Below are 27,003 nucleotides of genomic sequence, written 5' to 3'. Positions count from 1 at the left end.
CATCTGTATACTAGGATAATGATGCCTCCCTAGACTGCCTCTTGGAGATAAAGTAAAAATTAAATCCCATGATCTAAATAAAATTTCTCTTGTCCCTGTTGTCCCTAAGGCTCAAGGCTTCTTAAACTGCATGACAGCAGCCACTGGGCTTTTCTTAAGTGTTCAGGAACGTATTAAGCTGAAGATTCTACCTCTTTCTTGGGTCCCTGTTACCACCTCATTGGTCTTGAGCACTTGCTCACACTGATTGCTTCACCAAGCCAATGAGATGCCCTTCTTTAAAAGTTAGTCTCCTGTGGATGTTTGCCTCTGCCCTGCCTCTCTCCCTAGTAGAGGAGTCTAATTCCTCAGCCCAGCATCAGCTCAGCAGTATTAACTATTCCTTTCCTAGCTCATTCCAACCTACTACATCAGCAGCAATATTTACCTTATTCTCCAAATCGTGTTATCTGGCAGGCTCAACTAGCAGTGCATGGACCAGGAATTAGAAAACAAAATCAGGGCAGGTAGTGCTCCTTGTTTAGAAAAAAAGAAACAGATAGTTGTAGCAGCTGAGAGATCCATTTCAGGGGAGGAAAGTCTTAATTGCTGTTTAAACATACTTCATGATTTGCCATTGGGTCACCTTTCTCAATGTCACCTACAAAGTCATAATAATGTGAGTCAAAACGGTGAAGAGAGGAAACCAGTCCCTCAGGTGTTTCCTGGAGCATACTCTTCTCTGATCAGCGCTTGTGGTATATTGGGGTTCGTGCAGGCAGATGAGGTGGGCAATTTAGGAGGGAAGGGTGAAGGAAAATGATGAGGACTTAGGAGGCACAATAGCGGCACAGCTGAGGAACTCAAGGCAACATCAGTCACAGAGAGTAATTCGATTCTACGGGGTCCATTGGATAGAAGAGCACAGAAACATGGAAGTCCATCGGCAGCGGATCAAAGGCATCCATGTTTAGGATGTGTTCATGCAAAACTCACCCGGCTTGAGGGGATGAGATATGTCTTGCCTTCCTCCTCAGAGAGAAGTAGGGGAGATGACGCCCACAGAAGCAGGCATCAGACACCTGCTGATGTGCTGCGGGAAAACCTGAAGGCCATCTAAAGGGAGCCGTTCTGAGACATGCAGGCAGGCAGTGTCACTCAGACTCCACTGCCATTAGTGACCCGGGAACGGGCAGTCAGGTAACAGAAATGGGAGGTGAGGAAAATATGCTGCAGGTCGTCTCCACACAAAAAATCCAGAATCTGGCTAAATCTGTTTTTTTTTTTTTAAGCTGAAGAATTTCTACATGCAAGATAAAAATATCTAGCTTCGACCGGACGCGGTTGCTCACGCTTGTAATCCCACCACTTTGGGAGGCTGAGGCGGGCAGATCACAAGGTCAGGAGATAGAGACCATCCTGGCTAACACGGTGAAACTCCGTCTCTACTAAAAATACAAAAAATTAGCTGGGCGTGGTGGCGGGCGCCTGTAGTTCCAGCTACTCGGGAGGCTGAGGCAGGAGAATGGTGTGAGCCCAGGAGGCGGAGCTTGCAGTGAGCCGAGATTGTGCCACTGCACTCCAGCCTGGGCGACAGAATGAGACTCTGTCTCAAAAAAAAAAAAAAAAAAATCTAGCTTCAGAGAAACTACATGAAGAAAATGAGAAAAAAAAATCGCAACTTGAGAAAATAAATGTCAAAATGCAGTGCCTCAATTGAACCAATGCTTGCCTCCCTCTGACCAGGTCAGGAAAGAATTTGGTGACGTGACCATCCTCGTTAACAATGCTGACTTAGTCACGGGAAAGCCCTTCCTCGATATTCCAGATCACATGGTGGAAAAATCCTTTCTTGTAAATGCCATCACTCATTTCTGGGTAAACCTCTTTCTTTATCATTTTATTTTGTTGGTGAGTACGAAAATTCCATGCAGTCCTATAAACACTTGTTCATGCATTTCTTTATAAACATACCATTTGGGGATTTTCCATTGAAAGATGTGGGGTCTCAATCCTTGCAGGGTTTATCTGTTGTGCTTTTCCTGATCTTGTTTTCTTCCAAATTATCAGAGAAATTTTTTTTCCCTCTACCCTCTGCAGTTTGTTCCCAAGACTTATTAGGCTGTCAGAAATCTTCCCACCTAAATACAAACTGAAAGTGACAGCAATTATACAAGAGAGATTTAATTTGGCCATGAGTGCAAAAGGAGCTTGTGCAGAGACAGGGGCTATTTTTAGAGTGGTGGTTTATGGGCATGCAGGACTGGGCATTCTAATAGAGGAATTAAGGGGGGGATGAATCACAATCACCACTATTTGTTGAGTACTTGCAGCCATTATGCCATTTTCACTCTCATTTTACAAATAAGGAAACTGAGGCCCAAAGTATTTAAATGAATTCCCCAAGGTCAGGCAACTGGTAAATGGTGGCCCATGCTTACAGAAGGAAGAAGTACAGAGTGAAAAATTACAGAAAAAGATGAGTTAATTCATGGCTCAGGAGTGTCTTTCCTGAGGCCTGGAGTGGTTTACACAATGCTGCCCAGTAGAGCTGTCTTTGATGGGGGAAATGGCCTTCATCTGTGCTTCCCAATATGAAAGCCTCTAGTCATCTGTGGCTACTGAGCACTTGAAGTGTGGTTAATGGGATTAAGCACTAAACTTTTAACTTTATATCATATAATCTATTGAAATGCATATTTATTTATTTATTTATTGAGACAGAGTCTCACTCTGTTGCCCAGGCTGGAGTGCAGTGGCACAATCTCAGCTCACTGCAACTTCTATCTCCTGGGTTCAAGCGATTCTCCTGCCTCAGCCTCCTGAGTAGCTGGGACTACAGGCACCCGCCACTGTGCCGGCTAATTTTTGTATTTTTAGGAGAGATGGGGTTCCACCATGTTGACCAGGCTGGTCTCGAACTCCTGACCTCAGGTGATCCACCTGCCTTGGCCTCCTTAAGTGCTGGGATTACAGCTGTGAGCCACCGCACCCAACCTTAAATGCATATTTAAACAGCCACACATGCCTAAAGGCTACCTCCTTGGTCAGTGCAACTCTAGAAAGTGGGTAGAGGCTAAAGGAGAGAAGAGTTACCAGAGATGTTTCCACTAAGAGGGTTCATACTTGATGCTGCCAAGGAATGAACAGGGATCAGCGGCAAATGGGGCCTGTGGGAGAAACAGGTGCTGAAACCAGGGCATTGGGAGACATGGGGAAGTGGGGACAGGTATGGCCCTAGTTCTCTGTGTCTCCAAAAATAGGACCTTGGAATGGGCTTCCTTTACATGTCTCCTGATTCCTCCCTCTTTCCACTGTACACTTTTATACCACTCTCCATGGAACTCAGAACTATTTCCTTGGTCTTCTTCCTTGGTCACTGGGAAGATAATGGGAACCCCCACTAACCTGTTTTAACCAATATTCCTTGAGCACTTACCACAGTGCTTGCCGTATAATATGTTTTCCAGAAACATTTGTGAAAACCATTGATTTCCTTCCCTGTACTACCCTACCCCAAACATTTCCTTCAGAAAGGGGAAATGTCATCTTGTTAAATGGAGCTAGGGTGCACCCATTACAATCACATCACAAATCTATAAATCATCCTGATTCCTCCCCTTCCCTCAACACCAGCAACCTTGGCTGTCCCTGCACAACATGCCCAAGTGCATGTCTCTCCTTTCTGCTGCCAGCCCCTGGATGAAGCCATCCTCATCTCTCACCAACAGCTCCTCAGGGCCTTCCACCCTCAACACTGGTGACTTCCAACACATCTTTTTTTGTTTGTTTGTTTGAGATGGAGTCTCATTCTGTCACCCAGGCTGGAGTGCAGTGGTGCGATCTCAGCTCACTGCAAGCTCCGCCTCCCAGGTTCACGCCATTCTCCTGCCTCAGCCTCCTGAGTAGCTGGGACTACAGGCAGGTACCACCATGCCAGCTAATTTTTTGTATTTTCAGTAGAGACGGGGTTTCAATTTGTTGGCCAGGATGGTCTCTATCTCTTGACCTTGTGATCCGCCCGCCTCGGCCTCCCAAAGTGCTGGGATTACAGGCTTGAGCCACCACAGCCAGCTACTTTCTGCTAATTTTCTACAAGCCAAGGATCCTGATTAAACTCCAGAGAACATCAAGCTCTTTCCCACCTGAGGGTTTTTGCACAAGCTGTTCTCTCTCCAACAGGAATATTCTTTCTCCTCACTCACATAGTAGCTCCTTCTCATTCTTTAGGCTTCATGTAGCCTCTGAACTTGTATCTTTACGTTGTGTATGTGCTCTGTTGTTTGCCTTGAATCAGCTCCATAGGTAGTGGTAAGAGCTATTAATAAACACACATAAGCCTTCTGGTTGTGTGTCAGCAAACCTAGAGACAGATGATACTGAGCAACCACTGAAACCAGGAAATCAACTTCCATCTGAAGATGATGGAAAGAATCTTGATTCATCTCAAGAATTAGAGAGATTTTTAAAATTTTGTTCTACTGCTCTTACTAGCTCATCTATTCCAAGGGTTTATGAGACCAAACCCAATAAATATATCTCCACCGGGTGCTGCCTGCAGTACTTCTGGGGAGAAATTGTACTGCAATTCTTCTAGTGAGAGATTTGCCTTTTTTTTCTTGAGGTCTCCCAAACCTGCCAAGGCTCCTGGTCTACCAGGAAGTGACCTCCCTTAATACCTGTAAGGCTGGAAGGGGACTTGTGACCCATAAAGCAGGTATCAGTTCAATTTCCTGAGGAGGCAGCTGGTTCAATATATGAATAGCAACCATCATCCCTAAAGAATAGGCTTGTCATACATGATTAAATTAAACTTATTCTTAAACTGGGCACACCTGTGCTCTGGTTGCATTATCAAACTACTCATTATATCCTGGGAAAAGAAGGCCTCGCTCTACTTATTGAACAGGTACAGATAGGCACATCACCATGAAAGATAAAGGATCTCAGTAAGTCATTATAATAGAATCTACCGACTGCCATCAGTAGGTTTGTGCACAATGGCAATTAATAGCTTTCATATTATCTGTAAAATTAGTTTGATTGTATATGAATGTACAATGATTAGAATAAGTTAAATTTCATTCCACACATTTTTCTAAGCTTAACCTATTGTGAAAACATTTATCTGAATTTCAAGTACTAAAATTATTATCATCCTTACATTCCTTCAAATCTTCACTCAGTTTATAATCTAAATCAAGATCCCCATAAGATATTTTTCCTTGAATTAAGATAGCATTCAAAAAGTTTCATGCCACTTTGCATTAGCTTCCTGAAGAGAGAACTGAAAACACATCAAGAAGTAAAAAGGGCTTGCTCACATGCCCATTAGAAAATAGAACTTCGACCACATTAAATTTCCCTCACTGATGCTGTGACCCAGACATATACCATTAATTCTGTTCTGCCTGATGCTGGTGAGGGCCTGCTTTCACATAGCCATCTACTCCTGTACTAAACAGGTTCTGTGGACCTGGCTCAGCCCCAGACATGACCTTGCAGGGGCCTCCTCACTGTGGCAACGTCAGCCCACACTGGGAAGCCCATTCCAATGAGTCGATCCTTGGCACGGTCCAGGCCACACTGCGACTCTGAGTGTGTCCTTCTGGGCTGTCTTGACAAGGCACAGTTTCCAGTTTGTACTTCTAGAAGACTCCAGGCAAGAACAGGAAGACTAGAAATTACCTACTGATGACAAAACTCAATGGCTCTAGTTAATTCATTTCAATAACCAAAGATACCAAATTAAGAAAATAGAAACTGGTATTGGGGTATAAGACATAATTATTTTATAAGAATTTGGTTACTTATTATAGCAAGAGCACTGACAAATCCTCAGGGTCTTTCTAACTGTCCTGGCAAGTGTGCAATTTCTGGTTAAATATATTTGTGTTAATGAATTCATCCAAGAAAATGTTGAGTTTCTCTTTTGGAGTTGACAATTTTTCCCCACATTTTCTCAGGGCAGGTCCTAAATAGGGTTCAGCTAATGAAGAAATGTGGAGCATACCCAGTGTACCTCATTTTCTCTAGCCACCCTGCTGCTGCTAATTGCCGTGTAATGAAATCAGGCCAAGGGAACAGACCATGGGTGATTTGGTCACCTAAGAAGTACCAAAGATGACTTTGAATGCAAAAACACCTCTATAGACTTATTTTTCTAAACAAAAACTATGGAAGAGCTGTAATTGGCTGCCTTAAGAGCCAGAGTGACAATAGTTTTGTTTTGATTTTTAAATACACCTAACAGCACATCACAGTATAATTATTAAGGGATTTTAGATCTTTCAGATGTGGCCAGTTTTGGTTATTTGATTTAACAAAAAGTTAAGTAGGTCTCAAGTGCTCAGAGTAAGAATATTTTGACAAGATAAGAATCCATGCTCTCTGGGCAGACTACACAAAGGTCAAAAATAACCTTCCAATACCTCTTGTTTACAACAGACTGGAATATTCCAAGAGATTTTAAGCTATCAGGTCCATCATCTTTATCATACTGAAGTTTCTTTTGTTCATTAGTTTTAATATGCTCTTATATGTGTATACGAGCTTAAACACACACAAAAAAATGTATCACTATGTAACTATATCACTTTTGGCTTTCAATGATCACTTTAAAATATAAACAACTTTATCATATTAAAAGTTAAGGTGTATATTACATTGAATTTACTATCTCAAATGAAGCTTTACGAAAAGCAGGTCGAAATGGTGCTGAGTGACTCAATACCTTTTCTCTATGAATTTAAATTTTTTTAATTGTATTGGTAACCAAAAATTTCTCATAAATTTACCCAACTTAATATTATCCTAAAATATTCAAGCCATTTAAGTTACACTACAGAGCAATACAATCACTGGTGATATTAAAAGGTGGTCAAAGGGATGACACTGAAAAATTATAAAAGGCAATGCAAGTGCAGTAATTAAGTGAAAGCAACTTGCAAAACTAAAGTTCAAAAACATCAATCTTTTTTTGATAGTAAAGTCATCATTCATTATAGTTCAATTTAACTGTATGCATATTTGTATTCTTTGTAACCAGAAATATTTTGTGGAAACAAAGATAATCTGTCTGACCCATAAACCAGTATTGAAAAAATTAGAAAGTTTATTAATTTGGCTTTTCCATGAAAAAAAAAAGAAGTCTTACATAAATGCAATAAAATGAAATCAAGCAAATCTGATGTTTGTTTTCATTACATCCCACATGTGATAAAATCAGGAAATCCTGATTAACAGAATATAGCTGTTTAGCAAACAAATCTGATTTGTTCACAGATTTACTTTGATTAGGAGTAATGTGCAAACCTAGATCCATATGTAATTTTCTATTAATTTCTCAGGCACTAAAAATATTTTACAAAAGGTAAAATACATTTTTGGCAACTAATTGCTGACTCAACACTTAATTATATTCCTTTTTCTTTCCTTTAGTAATAGATATACATCTAGTGAGCACTAGGTATGGGTCCCTATGAGCAATTCATCTTCTAGAATGTCCTAAAAAAGTGCTCTACTGGTACATAGGCCTGCAAATTCAAACAGACCCTTGTCATTACCTATTCCTTTTCCCTCTAGGAGGGAGAACTTTTTTCTCAACTGAACATACGAGAAGCTAGCCACAAATTCAGCCACAGCCAAAAGTAAATACATATACAGAAAACTTTGCAGGAAAAAAAAAAATGTTGATAGAGAAAAGCAAACAAAATTGAATTCCTAGGCTGGGTACTGTGGCTCATGCTTGTAATCCCAGCACTTTGGGAGGCCAAGGCAGGTGGATCACTTGAGCCCAAGAGTTCGAGACCAGCCTCCCCAACATGGTGAAACCCCATCTCTGCAAAAATTACAAAAATAAGCCAGGCGTGGTGGTGCGTGCCTGTAATCCCAGCTACTAGGGAGGCTGAGTCACGAGAATGGCTTGAACCTGGGAGGCAGAGGTTGCAGTGAACTGAGATCACACCACTGCACTCCAGCCTGGGTGACAGAGAAAGACTCTGTCTCAAAAACCAAAACTCCTAAAAGTGGCTACATCCCTGTGAACAGGTAACTTCCCACCGTCATCATTGTTTTTTATAATTTCACCAGTGTTCGGCTGTATGATAAACTATTGTAGGTCACTGCTTTCTCTCCCTTACTCTGGGGAGTTTCACTGTCCCCAGCCATGGGATTTCTTACAAAGGTAGCACTGATACTCACCTTCAACTCCATTTCTCAGCTTCATTTTCTTGAAAGTTTCATAAACTTTTAGATATCAATAGTGGTGCCACTGCTGGGCCTCCATACCTAGGCTTCCTGTCCTTAAACCTAACTGGGTCTACCAGACAGTCACTGAGATGTCCTCTGGGCATCTGGCCGGATCTTTCACACTTTTGTGTTGAAAGACAATAACCAGCTCTTGTCATTTCTAACTAGTCTACAGTCATGACTGATGCAACAAGAATTTAATTTTTGAAAGACAAAGATGTTACAACTATAAGACACATGTATAAATTGCCACCGCGTTTGGATGGGAAATGTCAAAAGAGGCCAATTGTTCACATCTAAGCAGAAACTTGCCAATTAGTTCAGCAGCTCTGGGACAAGGTTACTGAGATGAAGAATATCTCAAAAACAAATATGTCATTCTTTGATCCAGTGTCTGCTTTCTATTCTACTGGCCCCTTGTAGGTGAGCACATCTTGGCACTCTCCAAAACTATACATACCAAATTCTGACAATGTTAACATTGCAAACTCATAGAAACAGATCAGAGCATTGTCAAGGTTAGGTTGAAATCATTTATAAGAGAACCAGTAGAATAACACAGCCAACAAGATAATGATATTAGAAACTTGGATTTACATAGTGAATGAGAAAAGGAGTGCTGAAATAAGAATAGATCTAAGATATGGTAGTGCTTTACTTACCTGGGTGTGTTTAGCTTGCACTGAAATTCACTTTTCCTTAAACAATTCCTCCCATTCTGCCAAACCATCAGGGCAAGGGCAAATCTTGTTTAGGGTAAAGCCAGGAAGGTAAATGCAATTAAATTTTAATATAAATTGCTAAAAACTACATGGAAAAGTTCAGCATACCAGAAAAACTAGGTTTTAAGATTTTTAGCCAACCACAAATATAAAATGTTCATTTGAGTCAATTAGTATAGTTTACCTCAAAAGAAAAAGAAATCAAATAATACAGATTAGTAGATAATAACCTCTAATCTCACTGAAAACAATGATTATATGGTACCTACTTTTCTACTGCCACAGAATTTAACACATTATGGTGTTAAATAAATATTTGTTAAATTAGTAAACTCATCAAATACTTATGAAGCAAATATAGTAATAAATGAATGAAATATTGACAAAGTGCATTTATACCTTTCAGACTTGTAAGGCCTTCCTTCCTGCCGTGATTAAAGCTAACCATGGTCACCTGGTTTGTATTTCAAGTATAGCAGGAGTAGTTGGTATTAATGGACTATCAGATGAGTACTTTGTTTCACCATGTGTCACAGAAGTCAGAAATTAGGACTCTTCCAAGATAGATAGAAGCTGTTCCTGCATCAAGGGGAAATCTCTGGAATATTGAACTCTATTTATAATTCCAGCATTCTCTTCTATTTCCAGAAGGAGATATATTCTCTTCTAAAAAAAAAAAACAGCCAGAATATGCCTATTGGCTTTGGTCTTCTTGGGTTAGGAAACACTGATATGATTTCCATCTTTTTGTTGGGTGTAGAGTGTGGATATGTAGGAGTGGAGTGTTTGGCCACATAAATTGACTCTGACAGGAATGCTTTGTCCCCAAGGACAAGCCACAAAAAGGGGAAGGAGATTCAATTTTTAAAATAATTCCAAGAATTAACTTGTCAAGCTCTATTACTAATAGTTCCTCACTTTTTTTTCAGATTATTCTGCAAGTAAATTTGCAGCCTTTGGCTTTGCTGAATCTCTCTTTTTTGAATTAACTATGATAAAGAAAACTGAAGTTAAAAGCACCATCGTGTGCCCACATTTCATCAACACTGGAATGTTTGAGGGCTGTACAAGCAAGTTAACTCTTAAAGTAATCTTTGCTCTTATAACAAACTTCCACTATATGTCATCATCTGATCATTTTGAAGTTTTGAAATTGGAGAGTAAAACAAAAGAAACAATGTGAATGACTAATTTAGTAAAAGAAAATTTCAATATGTATGACATTTATAAATTTATTCAATTTAAAGACAATAATATAGTTATGAGGCTTATGGTATAGTAAAAATTTAAACCTAAAATACTAATCAGTATATTAAAATATAAAATAAATTAATACTGAGAACTTTGAAAATATTTGGTATTGTAGTATTGAGAAGACAACTTTTTCCTAAAGAGAATATAAAGGTATAAATAACCTCTGAAATAAAATATTTTGTAAAATTGATTAATATATGGGGGTAAATAATGCAGAGTGACATTTTGGTATGAAGGTTAAATTTATCTAGAACAGCCCAAACTAGGATGCAAATGTGATATGAGAGCTTTTACATACGGATCCAGTCAGTGAGTATATTGGAAAGTGTAAACTGGATATGAGGACGAGTGTAGTCGTTATGATCATTAAAAAAGAGACTGACACAATCCAAATGACATGAATCAACTTTATTTGTGAGACATGGAGACAGCCAACAGAAAGCCTGGCTTAGAGGCAATGAAACTATTTAGAGTCTAGTGAAGCTTTAAAATTAAATAGAAAGTTCCAAAACAAGTGGTCAAGAGCTGACAGAATGTATAGGGGAAAGCTCTCCCCAAAGAGCCATGTATTAAGCTGGTCAAAATTAGCAAAGACAATCATTTAAAATTTAAATGTTAAAAGACACAAACAAAGCTATATCTTGAAACCAGCAAAAGGAAAAAAAAGGTCTCATCATGTACAAAGGAAACCAAATGTGATTAATGGCTGACACCTCAACAGAAATAATGAAAGTCAAAAGGCAGTGGTATAACATATTCAAAGTACTGGGGGAAAAATTACCCACCAAGAATCTTATATCCAGCAAAAGTTTCTTTCAAAAATGAAAGCAAAAGGAAGGCAAACTGAAACAGAGAATTTGTTGCTTAGCATACTACCTCACAAGAAATATTAATGGAAATTCTTCAAGATGAAAACAAGTGACTCCTGAGAGTAATCTGAATCCACATGAAATAAAGTGACAGTAAAGGTGACAAAGTAGGTAATTTTTAAAAGACAGTATAAATGCCTATTTCTTTTCCTTTCTTCTCTTCATTGATTATAAATACAATTGTATAAATAAAAGGTACATAATAGTTTTATTTGGCCTACTACATATAGAAATGTAATATTTTTGAAAATAACAGCAAAAAGGACGTGAGTGGGGACAAAATTATATTGAAGTAAGTAAACGATACCAGATAGTAACTCAAATCCACAGGAAGAGCTGAAGAGAACCAGAAATGAAGAAGAGTGGAAAACTAAGAAAAATCAATGAAACCAACAACATTAATGATCAACAAAATTAACAAAACTTTAGTTAGACTGACCAAGAAAGAAAAAACAGAGAAGTCTCAAACTACTAAAATCAGGAATAAAAAAGAGGACCTCACTACTGGTAATGCTGCAGAAAGGAAAAGGACCATAAGGAAATACTACGAAAAATTATGTGCCAAGAAACTAGATAACTTAGATGAAATGGAATAATTTCTACAGAGACACAAGCTAACAAAACTGACTCATGAAGGAAAAAACATCTGAATAGACTTAAAGATATTAAATTAGTAATCTAAAAAAATTCCCACAAGAAAAATCCCAGATCCAGAGGGCTTCATGGGAAATTCTATAAAACCTTTTAAGAAGAATAGCTACCAAAATTTCAAAAATTTCCAAAAAGATAGAAAAGGACTGACCACTTCCCAACTCACTCTATGAGGGCAGGATGACCTTGATACTAAAACTACACAGAGACATCACAAGAAAATAAAACCAAAGATCAATACCTGTTATGAACATAAACACAAAAATCCTCAATAAAATACCAGCAAACTGAATCCAGCAACCTATCACATTAAGACATAATGATTAAAGAGGATTTATCCTGGGAATGTAAGATTGGGTTAATATTTAAAGAGAATTTAATACAGTACATCATTCAGTAGAACAACAAAAGCTGCATGATCATGTCAAAACACACAGAAAAAGCATTAGACAAAATCCAGCACACTTTCAAGATAAAAAGACCAAGAAAGTAGAAATAAAAGGGAACTTCCACGACCTGATAAGTGGCATCTATGAAAAAGCCAGAGCTAACATCATGTTTAATGCTGAAAGATTGGATGCTTTCCCCACAAGATCAAGAACAAGACAAGGCTATCCATATTCACCACTCTGATTCAACTACTGTTCAATAGAACATTTAGACAAAATATAAAAAAAAGATATTCAGATTGGAAAAAAGGAGCAAAATTATCTTTATTCTCAGATGACATGATCTTGTATATAGAAAATCCTGAAGAATACATATGTGCACACACACAGACACACACAATTACATCTACAAAATGAATTCAGCAAAGGATCAATATTCATAATCAATGTACTAAACTCATTTGTATTTCCATACATCTGAAATGAATAATCCAAAAATGAAATTAGTAAAACAAGTCCATTTAACAATAGCTTCAAAAATAATAAAATACTTAGGAACAAATTTAACAAAAAAAGTACAAAACTTATCCTATGAAAATTACAAAACATCTTCAAAAGAGATTAAAGAAAACTTAAATAAAAATAAATCCCACGTTCACGGATTGGAAGACTTAATATTGTTAAGACACTAATACTCCCCAAATTGATCTACAGATTGAATGTAATTCCTATCAAAATTCTAGCTGCTTTTTTTGCATGCCTCGACAAGTGGATTCTAAAATTTATGTGGAAATGCAAGGTACTCAGAAAGCCAAAGCCATCTTGAAAAAGAAGAAAATCGGATGGAATCACACTTCCCCATTTCAAAACTTACTATAAAACTATACTAATCAAGACAGTGTCAAACTTTCTTAAGGATAGACATATATAGATCAACAGAATAGAACTGAGAGTCCAGAAATAAGCTCTTACATTTTTGCTCAATTGCTTTTCAACAAGGGTGTCAAGACAATTCCAATAGTGCTGGGACAACTTGATAGCCATATGCAAAACAACGAAGTTGAACCTCAACCCCTACATCATATACAAAAATTAACTCAAAATAAATCCAAAAGCTACCTATAAGAGATAAAATCATAAAACTCTTAAAGAAAAATGATGTAAATTTCCATGACCTTGAATTAAGCAATGGTTTGTTAGCTATGATGTCAAAATACAAGCAACAACAGAAGATAAATAAAGTAGTTTCATCAAAATTAAGTACTCTTATGCTTCAAAGGACAACATCGGTAAAGTAAAAATACAACTCAAAGAATGAGAAAAGATTTTTGCAAATCTTAGAGCTAATAAGGGACTTGTGTCCAGAATATATAAATAATTCCTGATGACTCAACAATTTTTAAAAGCCCAACTTTTAAGAATAGCAAAAGCTCTGAACAGATATTTCTTCAAATAAAGATGGCCAGGCATGGTGGCTAATGCCTCTAATCCCACTTTGGGAAGCTTAGGTGGGTGGATCACCTGAGGTCAAGAGTTTGAGACTAGCCTGGCCAACATAGTGAAACCCCATCCCTACTAAAAATACAAAAATCAGCCAGGTGTGGTGGTGCACGCCTGTAATCCCAGCTATTGAGGAGGCTGGGGCATGAGAATCACTTGAACCCAGGAGGAGGAGGTTGCAATGAGCCGAGATTGTGCCACTGCACTCCAGCCTGGGCCACAGAGTGAGACTCCATTAAAAAAAAAAAAAAAAAGATATAAGTGGTCAGTGGTCAATGTGTACATAAAATGATATTCACCATCATCAATCACCAGGGAAATGCAAATCAAAAGCACAATGAGAAAGTACTTCAAACACCCTAAGATGGCTAAACTCAAATAGATAGATAGATAATAACAAGTGTTGATGAGAATGTGGAGAAACTGGAATCCTCATACATTGCTGATGGAATTATAAAATGGTCCAGCCGCATTGGAAAACAGTTTGACAATTCTTCAAAAAGCCAAACAGTAAGTTAGCATATTTGAACTCCTAGCCATATACCTAAGAGAAATGAAAAGGAAATTTTTTATACAAATGTTCATAGCAGCAATATCCAAATTGTGAAAACAACCCAAATGTTCATCAAGTGATGAATGAATGAATAAACAAAATGTGGTATGTTGATACAACTAAATATTATTCAACCATAAAAAGCAATGAAATTTGAAACATGCTCCCACATGGATATCCCTTGAAAACGTTATTTTAAGCAAAAGAAGCCAGACACAAAAAGCCACATATTGTATGATTCCATTTATATGAAATAGCCAGAATAGGCAAATCTACAAAAACAGAAAGTAGACTATCGATTGCCAGGGACTGAAGGAAAGGCCAAGGAGAAAATGACTGCTAATGTGTACGAAGTTTTTTGGGGGAGTGATGAAAATATTCTAGAATTAGATAGCAATGAACAATTTACTGAATATACTAAAAATCACCACATTTTATGTTTTAAGGAAGTGAATTTTACGGTATATGAATTATTTCTCAATAAAGCTGTTATTTAAAAACAATGAATAACTTCACATTAATTTGGAAGGCATAATATAAAAGACAGACAATAACAGTGTTGTAAGGATATGGATAAATTGGAACCCTCGAACACTGATGGTGGTACTGTAAATTGGTGCAACTGTTTTGGAAAATACTTTGATAGTTCCTCAAAATGTTAAACATAGAATTACCACATGGCCTAGCAATTCCACTCCTAGGTATATATCCAAGAGAAATGAAAATACATGTCCCCACAAAAAACTTGTACACAAATGTTTATGCAGCATTATTCATAACAGCTGAAAGGTAAAAACAATCTAAATATCCATCAACTGATGAATGGTTAACCAAAGTGTGTCACATCCATGTGACAGAATATATGTGATGCAAGAATTCAACAAAAATTAGCAAAACATTCTGTGAAAAGTAATTGATTATATGGTGTTTATAACAAAAAGTAATGTATATTTTATTAGTAGTAATAAATCATGTACTATACATGTTTTATCTCAGTAACATTTATAATAAACTTATGTATATGTACATATGTAGTTATATCTAATGTAAGTATACTTATATACATTTTTAAGCTATTTACTTTGTTTCTAACATTATTATTAAAATAATATTAGTAAGAATTGTTAATATGTGACTAAGTCTTATTAAAAGCTCGAATGTTAAGATCACAGAAAGAATATGACCAGCCAGGATAAGGGGGCATGGTAGCCAGAGAAGTCAGTGATGTTAAATGATAACTTGTATAAAATTGGTGTCCTTAGATAAACAAACGTAAAAAAAAACAGTCTCCAGAAAAAGATTCACAATCCTAAAATGGTAGAGAATTAAACAATGATCTGTAGATTCTATTTTTAAATAATCATTAGAGCCCTTTAGGCTATAGTTCTGGAAAACTTTAGGAGAATAAAATATAAAGACTAACTGTCAACATTCAGTTGTGGAAAATTGATCAGATTCCCAAAATCAGCTGAGATAAACAGAATTTTTGAGGGAAGTGTGGTTCAACTAATTAAGCAGAACAATATAAAAGTATAAAATATCTTATGTGATATTTATTTATATTCTGATCCATTTCAACTATTGATTTCACAAACATCTATTTCTGCTTAATGTTGTAACAATGATCTACCTAAACTGACACATTACACATGTTCAAGAGATTTTTTTTTTTTGGTAAGATAATTTTTGCTATTTTGCTTTTTTTTTTTTTTTTTTTTTTTGAGATGGAGTCTCACTCTGTCACCCAGGCTGGAGTCAGTGAGGCAATCTCTGCTCACTGCAACCTCCACCTCCTGGGTTCAAGTGATTCTCCTGCCTCAGCCTCCCAAGTAGTTGGGATTACAGGCATGGGCCACCACACCCAGCTAATTTTTGTATTTTTAGTAGAGATGGGGTTTCACCATGTTGGCCAGGCTGGTCTTGAACTCCTGACCTCAGGTGATCCATCCACCTCAGCCTCCCAAAGTGCTGGCATTAGCAATTGGGCTGTGCCTGGCTGCAATTTTGCTTCTTAATAGTATACAACTATGGGATGTTTGGGAGGGACAGAGAGGGAAGAAAGAAGAAAAAAATCTAAAAGCTAATCCCAGCACTTTGGGAGGCTGAGGTGGGCAGATCACGAGGTCAGGAGATCAAGACCACCCTAGCTAACACGGTGAAACCCCGTCTTTACTAAAAATACAAAAAAAATTAGCCGAGCGTGGTGGTGGGCACCTGTAGTCCCAGCTACTCAGGAGGCTGAGGCAGGAGAATGGTGTGAACCGGGGAGGCGGAGCTCGCAATGAGCCAAGACTGTGCCACTGCACTCCAGCGTGAGCGACAGAGCGAGACTCTGTATTAAAACAAACAAACAAAAAAATCTAAAAGCAATTACTTCCATATGTTTAGACCATCACACAGCAGAAAATCAACAAAAGCAGGAAGTTTACTCCAGGAAATTAAATATATTAGCACTAGTCCTATTACTGATCATAAGAGAAAACACAAGGCAATTCCTAAGATTTGCATTTTGTTTGACTAGTTTTTGTTTGTTTGTTTGTTTGTTATTATTATTATTATTTTTTTAGATGGAGTCTCACCCTGTTGCCCAGGCTGGAGTGCAGGGGTGCGATCTCGGCTCACTGCAAACTCCACCTCCCGGGTTCAAGCGATTCTCCTGCCTCAGCCTCCTGAATAGCTAGGATTACAGGCGCCCACCACCACACCCGGTTAACTTTTGTATTTTTAGTAGAGATGGCATGTCTCCATGTTGGCCAGGCTGGTCTCAAACTCCTGACCTCAGGTGATCTGCCCACCTCGGCCTCCCAAAGTGCTGGGATTACAGGCGTGAGCCACTGCAGCTGGCCTTTGTTTGACTGTTTAAAGCTGTATGTTATAGTTCCATATCTGAAATTTCATAATCAATGCCCTATGATGACAGCAAAAAGATACCAGTCTGATGATATCACTATTTGTTATTGTTATTCCAGGTATCCGTTTCTGTTACCAATTCTGGAGCAGGAGTATGTGGCCAAAAAAATTTTAAATGCTATTTTAGAGGAACAAGTTTATTTAATGATACCCAAATTTGCATATATCGGATTGATTCTTAAACAGTAAGTTAATAATGACCTCACTATCATTCTGGTTATTGTGAACAAATTGTCCAATCACTGCTACCTCTTTTGCATAGAAAGCAACTTTATATATTTACTTAATGGTAAGAGGAAGAACCTTAATAGTGCAAAAACAACTTTTCGGACTATTGCTGTGTCTTGGTTGCTTCAGACACTGACTAAATTTAACAATTATTTAGGTCTTGCAAAACACACATTTTTTGTTTCAACACAAATAAGTAACAAATTATTTGGGGTTTTTTGTTTGTTTTTTATGTTTTTGGTTTTGGTCAACTATTTAGTTTGGTTAGTGTAGAGCTCTACTTTGAAAACAAGGGACAAAAAAACACAAGTATGTTGCCAGAAAAATATTAAGAGTATTTTACAAGTTCTTCATTTTATTTTGCGAAATAGCTCCAGCAACTTCATACAAGGCCCATGCTATGAATTCCAGGTATTTGTTCATGGATTCCACCCAGGTCCAGATTTAGCATTTATGGGGTGACTACTACATGCCAGCTACTGTGCTAATAGCTTTGTGTGAATTTTATCAATTTAGGAAATCTGAGGTTTAAAGACAGTAATTTTTGCAGGGTTAAACAACTAATAATATGTGCTGCAACAAAGTTTCAAACTGAAGTTTCCAATTTGATTACAGAGCTTAAGGTCTTACCGTCAAGAAATACTCCTCCTCTGCTGTAAGTAGTAGCAGAGTAGAAAGCACAAGCAGAGATTCACTATTACAAAATTATGTTACTGATAAATAAAGTACTTTCTTTACTATTTATATCTATTTAACATATTTCCTATTCATCCTTAGCTACCCTGATTGCTCAGCTAGGTCAAAGTCCCACATTGTACATTCCATCACACCTGACCCTGGTTTTTGGCGCACTCATTTCACCCGTGGTTACTTGCTACCTTGCATGATCCCTAAGAACAGAAAATATTGTCTGAATTGTTTCCTGCTCCTTGCCCCAGCCTAGGACAATACCTAACGTGTAATTAGCATGCCATAAATATTTGCCACATCGAGCTGAATTGAGCATAACTGAGCTGGACACAGCCTCTATCCTCAAGGAACTAAAACAATGGTTCTTCATCTCGGATGCACATTGTAATCACCCAGGGAACATTTAAAACTACAGATTCCTGGCCCCTACCCTCCAGAAATTCTGCTTTAACTGGTCCAGTTTTTTTTCTAGTTTTGCTACCTTTTGTTAGTCTAGTAAATAAGGATATACATAGTCTCTCCACAGAACTCAGGGGGTGTGATACAGGGATAAATTGTGGCTTGAACTTTGGGGCTTTTCAAAGCTCTGGTGATTCCAAGGTGTAGCCAGGGTTGAGAGCCATTGGTGTTGAGGATGGTGATGGCACTTGGGGATGACACAGCACTTTTCTCTTCAGCCCTCCCATTAAGTGACATTTTGAACTTTGTATAATTTGCACTTACTCTTTGCAAAGTAGTTTATTTGATTCCTCTTAAAGGATCATAATTTTTTTCTCTGCTTTTCTTCTAGAATAATATCTCCAAAAATGTTGATTGCCTTTGGTGAGTACCTTGGAGTGGACACTTGCATGGCTTCTTTCAAAGGGAGAAAGAAAGCAAATGAACTTCAGACTGAAACTGAAGGGAAACACCAGTAGCTCAAGACTCAAACATGAGAATCAAAAAGTGTTCTAAGGATAAACTATTCACAATTCCTCCTAATGCTTAAAGGATTGCAGTCTACCAAGGATTAGTGAAGCTTTCAAAAGTGTCAATTGTGTTTCCTGGACATAGTTTACGCACCAATTATTTTTCTAAGCATTCAAGTTATCTATCAAGTTTTTCTTATCATTTTTTAGCATTATAAATCAGGACATTACAGTCTTTTCAATGGACTTTGAACATAATATGTTTATAAAAACATATTAATGCAAGTTGACCTTAATTTAATTTTAAAATAGATAATATATAATACCTTTGGAAGAGAGATAATTATAAATAATGACCTTATAAGTCAGTTTTTTATTTTGATAATTTTTAAACATCAGCTTTAAAGGTACATATTAGTTTCATAATTAAGAAAAATAATGTTTGCCTCACAAAGTAAAGGCATATTTGTGTTGCCTATTCATTCCTAATAGAATTAGATGTTCATTTCAAGACCCTTAGTGGGATTGAAACTGAATATTTGATAAAACATATCTGTAACTTATCATTTCTTTTGCATCTGAATATGTCAAACTTTTAGCTCTTTTACTCCACTAAAAAAAAGTACAAATTAGAATTATATACACTATTGGTTTGAAAATGAAACATTTTCATACTTAATTCAACAGAGTGCCATTTTAACTGATGTATTTGAATACATGACATAACCTTTCTTTTAAAATCCTTTATCCTCATGAGAAATGGGCACAACATATGCCACCTATGTGGCAAACATTCCTAACAATCTCACCTCTGGGCTGGGAATAGTTCTTGAGCTGTAATCACTCTACAATAGTCTAGCTTTATCTCCATTGGGCTCCAGACCTACTGAGTAATGGTAACACCAAAAATTGAAATTTCAAGTAAATTAAAGCACATATTCAGTTAACCAAAAAGTGAGCACTCATTTTATCAGATCTATCCTAGTATTAGGGACATAATATTTCTATGTTCATGCAAATAAAAAGCATAGTTTAACTTGAGATGAAAAGTGAGAAAAAAATTTTAAGACAGAAATAAAACATTCTAAACAAGCAATATTTGTAAGAAAATGAAACTTATCTTTTAACAGGTTTGTGAGTAAAACCTTTCTAAAATGTTGATATCTTTCTGCCTTCTTAAATGAAGTATTCAAAGCACAGTTTAACTTTTCTTTCATGCTGCAAGAGCATTAACACATTTTTGCCTAGCTCAGTTGACACCCAGCAGTGGTTTTTGAAGGGCCATTTTCTTCTAAATAAACTGATCCACAACCCCTCACTCAGGTGTCAGAAGATCTGACATATCAGCTTTTGCTTCACTCAGCCAAGAATGTATCCTGCTACTTGTAAAGCTGAATCTATAAGATGGACTTCTATTGGCATGCCTAACATGTCTATGCATTTATGTGTTGTGTACACAATGTTTCAGTACTGAAAATATACTTTAAAAATCTCTAATTAAAAAGTGGGCAAAGGATATGAACAGACACTTCTCAAAAGAAGACATTTACGCAGCCAAAACACACATGAAAAAATGCTCATGATCACTGGCCATCAGAGAAATGCAAATCAAAACCACAATGAGATACCATCTCACACCAATTAGAATGGCGATCATTAAAAAGTCAGGAAACAACAGGTGCTGGAGAGGATGTGGAGAAATAGGAACACTTTTACACTGTTGGTGGGATTGTAAACTAGCTCAACCATTGCGGAAGTCGGTGTGGTGTTTCCTCAAGGATCTAGAACTAGAAATACCATTCGACCCAGCCATCCTATTACTGGGTATATACCCAAAGGATTATAAATCATGCTGCTATAAAGACACATGCACACGTATGTTTATTGCGGCACTATTCACAATAGCAAAGACTTGGAACCAACCTAAATGTCCAACGATAGACTGGATTAAGAAAATGTGGCACATATAAACCATGGAATACTATGCAGCCATAAAAAAGGATGAGTTCATGTCCTTTGTAGGGACATGGATGAAGCTGGAAACCATCATTCTCAGCAAACTATCGCAAGGACAAAAAACCAAACACCGCATGTTCTCGCTCATAGGTGGGAATTGAACAATGAGAACACATGGACACAGGAAGGGGAACATCACACACCGAGCACTGTTGTGGGTGGGGGGAGGGGGTAAGGGGGGAGGGATAGCATTAGGAGATATACCTAATGCTAAATGATGAGCTAATGGGTGCAGCACAACAACATGGCACATGTATACATATGTAACAAACCTGCAAGTTGTGCACATGTATCCTAAAACTTAAAGTATAATAATAATTTTAAAAAGAGGAAACAAAAATCAGTCAAAAAGAGCTAAAAAAAAAAAAAAAGAAGAAAGCTCTAATTAATTGGCTTAAGAAAATAAAAGCACTTGAATCAAATACTTTATGTGGAAAAAAGACTAGTCAAATGCTTTTTCAAGTTTATGCAACTTAACTAAAATCTTTAATAAATAAGCTAGCTTTAAGATTATTGGTAAAGTATAATTATATTAGAAAATGTCTTAAGAATTGCCAGCATACATTTTTGTTTGCATTTATTAATTAAGCAATTTCATACTTATTCCTGCTAAATACTATAAGGTGTCAAAATTTGGCATAGGGGTTATAAAGCTATAAACACAGCTCAAGACAGAATGATCTTTGCTGTGTAATCTTTAATAAATAAGACATTGATATTAGTTTAATAAAAATAGCTACATTTTGAATTTAGTAAGATTACCATAACTGCTAATCTTGTGGCTTTAGGCAGTCTAGTCTGCAGGCAGTAAGGTTTGTTTTGGGAAGGAACTGTTATCACCTTTGTTTCAAAGTGAAACTATAAACCAAGTTCCTCCCAAATTTGCCCAAAAATCAACAAGGACAGATTGGAGGTTAGAAGCAAGATGCAGTCAGTTACATCAAATCTTTTTCACCTTCTCAGTTATAATTTTGCAATGGCAGTTTCATAACTTTAAATAATGACTATGGCAGTTTTCATAAATAATCTAGGTAAATGATTAAAATAAAATAAGTAGGTAAATGTAACGGGATAAATACTTGTAGAAAAACTTGTCATAATTTAGAAACTAAAGTTATAGTAAATTAAACAATAGCTATTTCATTATTTGGGTATTTTCCAATAAAATATATTTGTAGAAAAACATTCTTTCTAAAAAATAGTTGTGTCCTTTTTTAAAAAGTTGAAAAATTTTTGTCTAATTTGAAGATCTTTTTTTTTCTGAGACAGATTCTCACTCTGTCCCCTAGGCTGGAGTGCAGTGGCATGATATCAGCTCATTGCAACCTCTGCCTCCCAGGTTCAAGCGATTCTCTTGCCTCAGCCTCCTGAGTAGCTGGGATTACAGGTGTGTGCCACCACACTTGGCTAATTTTTGTATTTTAATATAGACAGGGTTTCACTATGTTGGCCAGGCTGGTCTCAAACTCCTTATCTGATGTGATTCGCCTGCCTCGGCCTCCCAAATTGCTGGGATTACAGGCATGTGCCACCACACCCAGCCTCAAAGCTTATTTAAGGGTTATGTATAAAACAAGGTGAAAGGAACCAGAAAATAAGAGAGAAGTTTAAAAACTTATAAAAATAAAGAGTTTTTTTGTAAGAAAGCTGAAGGAGAAATAATTTTATATGAGAAATAATCTTGTACAGATTTAGTGCTGGAATAAAATGACTGGCTTTTTAAGAAAGAGGGATGTTCAGGAGGAACCAGAAGGTCCAAGCATGTCATGAATGGTCTGTGTAAGTCAAAATAAGCAGATATACTTTTTAAAAAACCAAGAAACAAGTTGTCTATAACTAAAGGGAGATTATAGATCTTTCTAGAGATTGGGTTTGATGTAAAAAAAACTTATACACTAAATAATTGGATAGAACAATGAAATTTTCTTAAGGATTGATTTGCTCTTAATAAATTATAAGAGTTTTTTGGTTTTTTTTTTTTTTTGAGACGGAGTTTTGTTCTTGTCGCCCACGCTGGAGTGCAATGGCATGATCTTGGCTCACCACAACCTCTGCCTCCCAGATTCAAGCAATTCTCCTGCCTCAGCCACTCGAGTAGCTGGGATTACAGGCATGCATCACCATGCCTGGCTACTTTTGTATTTTCCGTAGAGATGGGATTTCCCCGTGTTGGTTAGGCTGGTCTTGAACTCCTGACCTCAAGTGATCTGCCCACCTCAGCCTCCCAAAGTGCTGAGATTACAGGTGTGAGCCACCACACCCAGCTTCAAGAGTTTTTCTTAAAAAGCAAAGTTCAACTTTTGTTGTATCTTAGTGTTTTCAGTTTTATCTCCCCCTTTCAAAGGTGCAAAATTGTAACACTCTCCTTACTCATTTTCAGCTCATATAAGTTTTTTTCCTTGAGTTCTGTTTGTTGTGGCCTGATGCTAGCAATGTTTTCTTAAAGGTCTAAAGGAAATGTTTTCTTCCAACATAATATTCTGTGCAGTGCAGAATGTCTTTTCTTTTGCCTTTGGTAAGTGGCCTAACAGATTTTACAGGGTATTGAAACAATTCCTATGACATTATTATTAAGTTTTGGTTTGCTTAGGAAAAAACTGAGATTAATTTTTTTTTTTTTTTTGAGAGGGAGTCTCGCTTTGTCACCCAGGCTGCAGTGCAGTGGCGCAATCTTGGCTCACTGCAACCTCTGCCTCCCAGATTCAAGCAATTCTCCTGCCTCAGCCTCCCAAGTAGCTAGGATTTAATCAAGGTTATTATGTCCACATATCTCTCCGTGTGTGCTTTTAAAGTACTTGTGACATTAAATTACAGGGCTTTGACTGCTGGGTCTAAAAAGAACACCAAGTCCTGCTAAATCTTAAACACTGACAGCAATTAAAGCCTCATCTTCAGGCAGGCCCAGTAGAAGATGTAAATCAAAATAAACTGGATTCCTGAGACACAGGGCCAGAAATTAAAGCTATTCAACTCTTGAAGGCCCAGGGACTATTGCAGAAGAGGTGGGCATGTGAGATTGTAAGGGCCAATTTTTGATAAAATAAATTCAGTTTCTCTATAAATTAATCATTAATGTCAAAGGCATACTGATGTTAGACCAGCGTACGGGCCCCTATGTCAGATTAACAAGGTTTTCTTCAAGCATTAACTGACTCCTTAATAAAGGTTATAAAGGTTATAAAAGGCTTATGGAAGTGATATCTTATGGTCAAGATTAAAATTTTATAGATTGTTTATAAAATTTTAAAGAACAAATTTAATTGGCTTCATGCTGTTTTTATTAGGGCTTCTCATTTGGAAAATTAAGTCTCCTCTCTCAAAAAATGAGGGTTCACCTTTTTTGAAATCCTTGAGTTATCACTTTGGTTAAATGAATGACTTGTTTTACAGTGATCTGTGATTCTATTTTGTGATATCAAGTGTTTTAAACCTTTGATATTTGACAGACTTTTCAAAATCAAATTATAAATTATGCCTTTTACTGACCTAATTAATCCTTTAAGATGTTAGGTTCCCTAAAGTCCAAAAATAACATAATTTGGCTTATTTGGTACAAAAATTATATAGGAAGCATTGTCAAATATGAAATGGTATTTGGTTTTGGTGGGGGGCTGTACTTGTATAAATATGTTATTGGTATGTGTTCCAAAACCATGAGCTTTTGTAATTCTGATATGACCTTGTTTACATTATTAGTAATAATTATAATTGTTGGCCGGGCGTAGTGGCTCACTCCAGTAATCCCAGCACTTTGGGAGGCCGAGGCAGGTGGATCATGAGGTCAGGAGATCAAGACCATCCTGGCTAACATGGTGAAACCCCATCTCTACTAAAAATACAAAAAATAGCTGGGTGTGGTGGCAGGCACTTGTAGTCCTAGCTACTCGGGAGGCTGAGGCAGGAGAATGGCATGAACCCAGGAGGCGGAGCTTGCAGTGAGCTGAGATAGCACCACTGCACTCCAGCCTGGGTGACACAGTGAGACTCCGTCTCAAAATAATAATAATTATTATTATAATTGTCATGTTAAATTATTGTGTGCCACAGAGGTAATAAATTTCCTTGTCAATTGTGTCTTTAACTATTGCTGCCCTAAAACTTTTGTCATCCACTGACAATTGTCTTGTTTATGTCCTCTTTAGAAGGTGGTTTTATAATAAGCTATAAAAACTAACAGATGCTCTTGAATTGAGGTTTCTGATAACTTTCGAGATTGTGACATCAGAACAAAGAAAAAAATTGTCAGGACTACTGGAGAGCTGAAATGTTCATGAATATCAGGGTGAATGGGAATTAACTGCATGAACTGAATAAATGACTGAAGTAATCTTTTTAACTTTTTGCTTAAAATGTTGTTAATCCTTTGCTTTGTTTTTCAAAGTCAAGAAAACCTTTCTTTTGAGCTATTGACAGCTTTCCACAATTTAGAATACTCCTATGAACAAAATTTGGAGCATATTTTTTTTCTTTCTACCTGATTTCTACAGATTTTGGAAACTATTTGTGAGTATTCTTAACTTATGGCAATACAGTTATTTGCATAAGTGCAGTAAGAATCTGTTTTCATTTGTAACAGGACACACTTAGAGAAGCTGTTTATTTTACCAAGGCTTTGACTGGAATGGTGTGCTTTCTTCTAAGGAATCAAACTTGACTTATGGAGCCAATAAAAGCCCCTTGGAAAAACTGGCCTCATATCTTTTTTACACCATGCATGTACAGGGTTCCTGACCTGTATTAAGTAAAGAATGTCACTTTCTGACAGGCCCAGGACCCCAAGTTTATCTTGGAACCTAAAGAGAAGAGGAATTAACCCTTCGTAAGTATTTGATGGTACAAGTCCATGGCTGGGTTCAGCTTTTACAAAGTGTTATGTGAGATTCCTTCTATGGAAAAAGTTGGTTCACAGTCAATTTTAAAACCTCTGTTAAAAAAATTAATCTTGCTGCACTATATACAAATAATCAGGCCAAGTAAAATAAGGCAAATGAGTCCTACAATGACTTGTCTTTAGTAAAATTGGGAAGCTGGAGAGAGAAAAATTATGTTTCAAAAACTATAGTACACCTCATGTTAGATTCTTGTCTTGCCTAATGTTTTTCAAATTTTATTATTTTCTACACTTTGGACCAAATTCTGATTTTTCTTGGCTACAAGTCTGCAAAATAATGTTTTCCATTTTTTTCTCTTTTCCTTCATTTTTCCTAATTTGGAGTCACCAAAAACTAAGTTGTGCTTTTGTAAAGTCTTGCAAACTAAAGCTAACCAACTTAAACTTCAGAAAAAAATAACAGCAACCTGTTTACATACATAAGCCACTTTCATACCTACCTACTGATGTATGGACTTCAGAATAATGTGACCTACATTGATTTTCCAGAATTGTCCTTTCCTTCATTATTGTTTTTCTCCTTTCCACCTCCTATTTTCTCTCATAGAACATAAGACTTCACAACCTGCTAAAACTGAGCTTTCCTAATAACTCAGGACCTGCCCATCTAGAAATAAACCATCCTAGCTATGAGAGATCAGATGAAACCTGAGACCAGAGACTCATTTTCTTCTAAAATGTTTTCTTCAAAAGACTTTTTAAAAGAAAAGGGGGAAAATGTGAAAGGAAAATAAATATTGGAGCCCCAAATCACTAAGCTAAAAGGAAAAGTCAAGCTGGGAACTGCTTAGGGCCAACCTGCCTCCCATTCTATTCAAATTCACCCCTCTGCACATTGAGATAAATGCATATCTGATTGCCTTCTTTGGAGAGGCTAATCAGAAATACAAAAGAATGTAACCATTTGTCTCTTATCTGTCTATAACCTGGAAGCCCCCTCCCAGCTTCGAGTCTTCCAGCCTTTGCTTTGAGTTGTCCCACCTTTCCAAACCAAACCAATGTTTATCTTGCATATGTTGATTGATGTCGTCTCCCTAAAATGTATAAAACCAAACTGCTCTAACCACCTTGGGCACATTTTGTCAGAACTTCCTGAGGCTGTGTCATGGGTGCACATCCTCAACTTTGGCAAAATAAACTTTCTAAATTAACTGAGACCTGTCTCAGATTTTTGGGGTTCACAGTTCTAATGA

The 27,003-nt window shown here is 37.0% G+C and overlaps 1 pseudogene across 1 annotated transcript, besides 1 other annotated feature; it reads left to right on the top strand.

Moving 5' to 3' along the window:
• Positions 1,158-2,357: an enhancer, noted in NCBI's record as "P300/CBP strongly-dependent group 1 enhancer chr8:57302182-57303381 (GRCh37/hg19 assembly coordinates)". NCBI's record gives its function as "activates an origin of replication core promoter dependent on BRD2, BRD4, P300/CBP, MED14 and CDK7 cofactors, with strong dependence on P300/CBP, by STARR-seq in HCT116 cells {active_cell/tissue: HCT116}" and the evidence as "EXISTENCE:reporter gene assay evidence [ECO:0000049][PMID:35650434]".
• Positions 1,270-17,262, top strand: SDR16C6P (short chain dehydrogenase/reductase family 16C member 6, pseudogene; annotated as a pseudogene). The gene is made up of 4 exons (NR_103832.1): positions 1,270-1,378; positions 1,726-1,857; positions 9,881-10,038; positions 17,137-17,262. The product of NR_103832.1 is annotated as a short chain dehydrogenase/reductase family 16C member 6, pseudogene (transcript).
• Positions 17,263-27,003: the final 9,741 nt, after the last annotated feature.

This window comes from Homo sapiens, chromosome 8 (assembly GCF_000001405.40).
Source record: "Homo sapiens chromosome 8, GRCh38.p14 Primary Assembly".
Taxonomy (NCBI): domain Eukaryota; kingdom Metazoa; phylum Chordata; class Mammalia; order Primates; family Hominidae; genus Homo; species Homo sapiens.
This window is presented reverse-complemented; position numbering and strand designations above follow the sequence as displayed.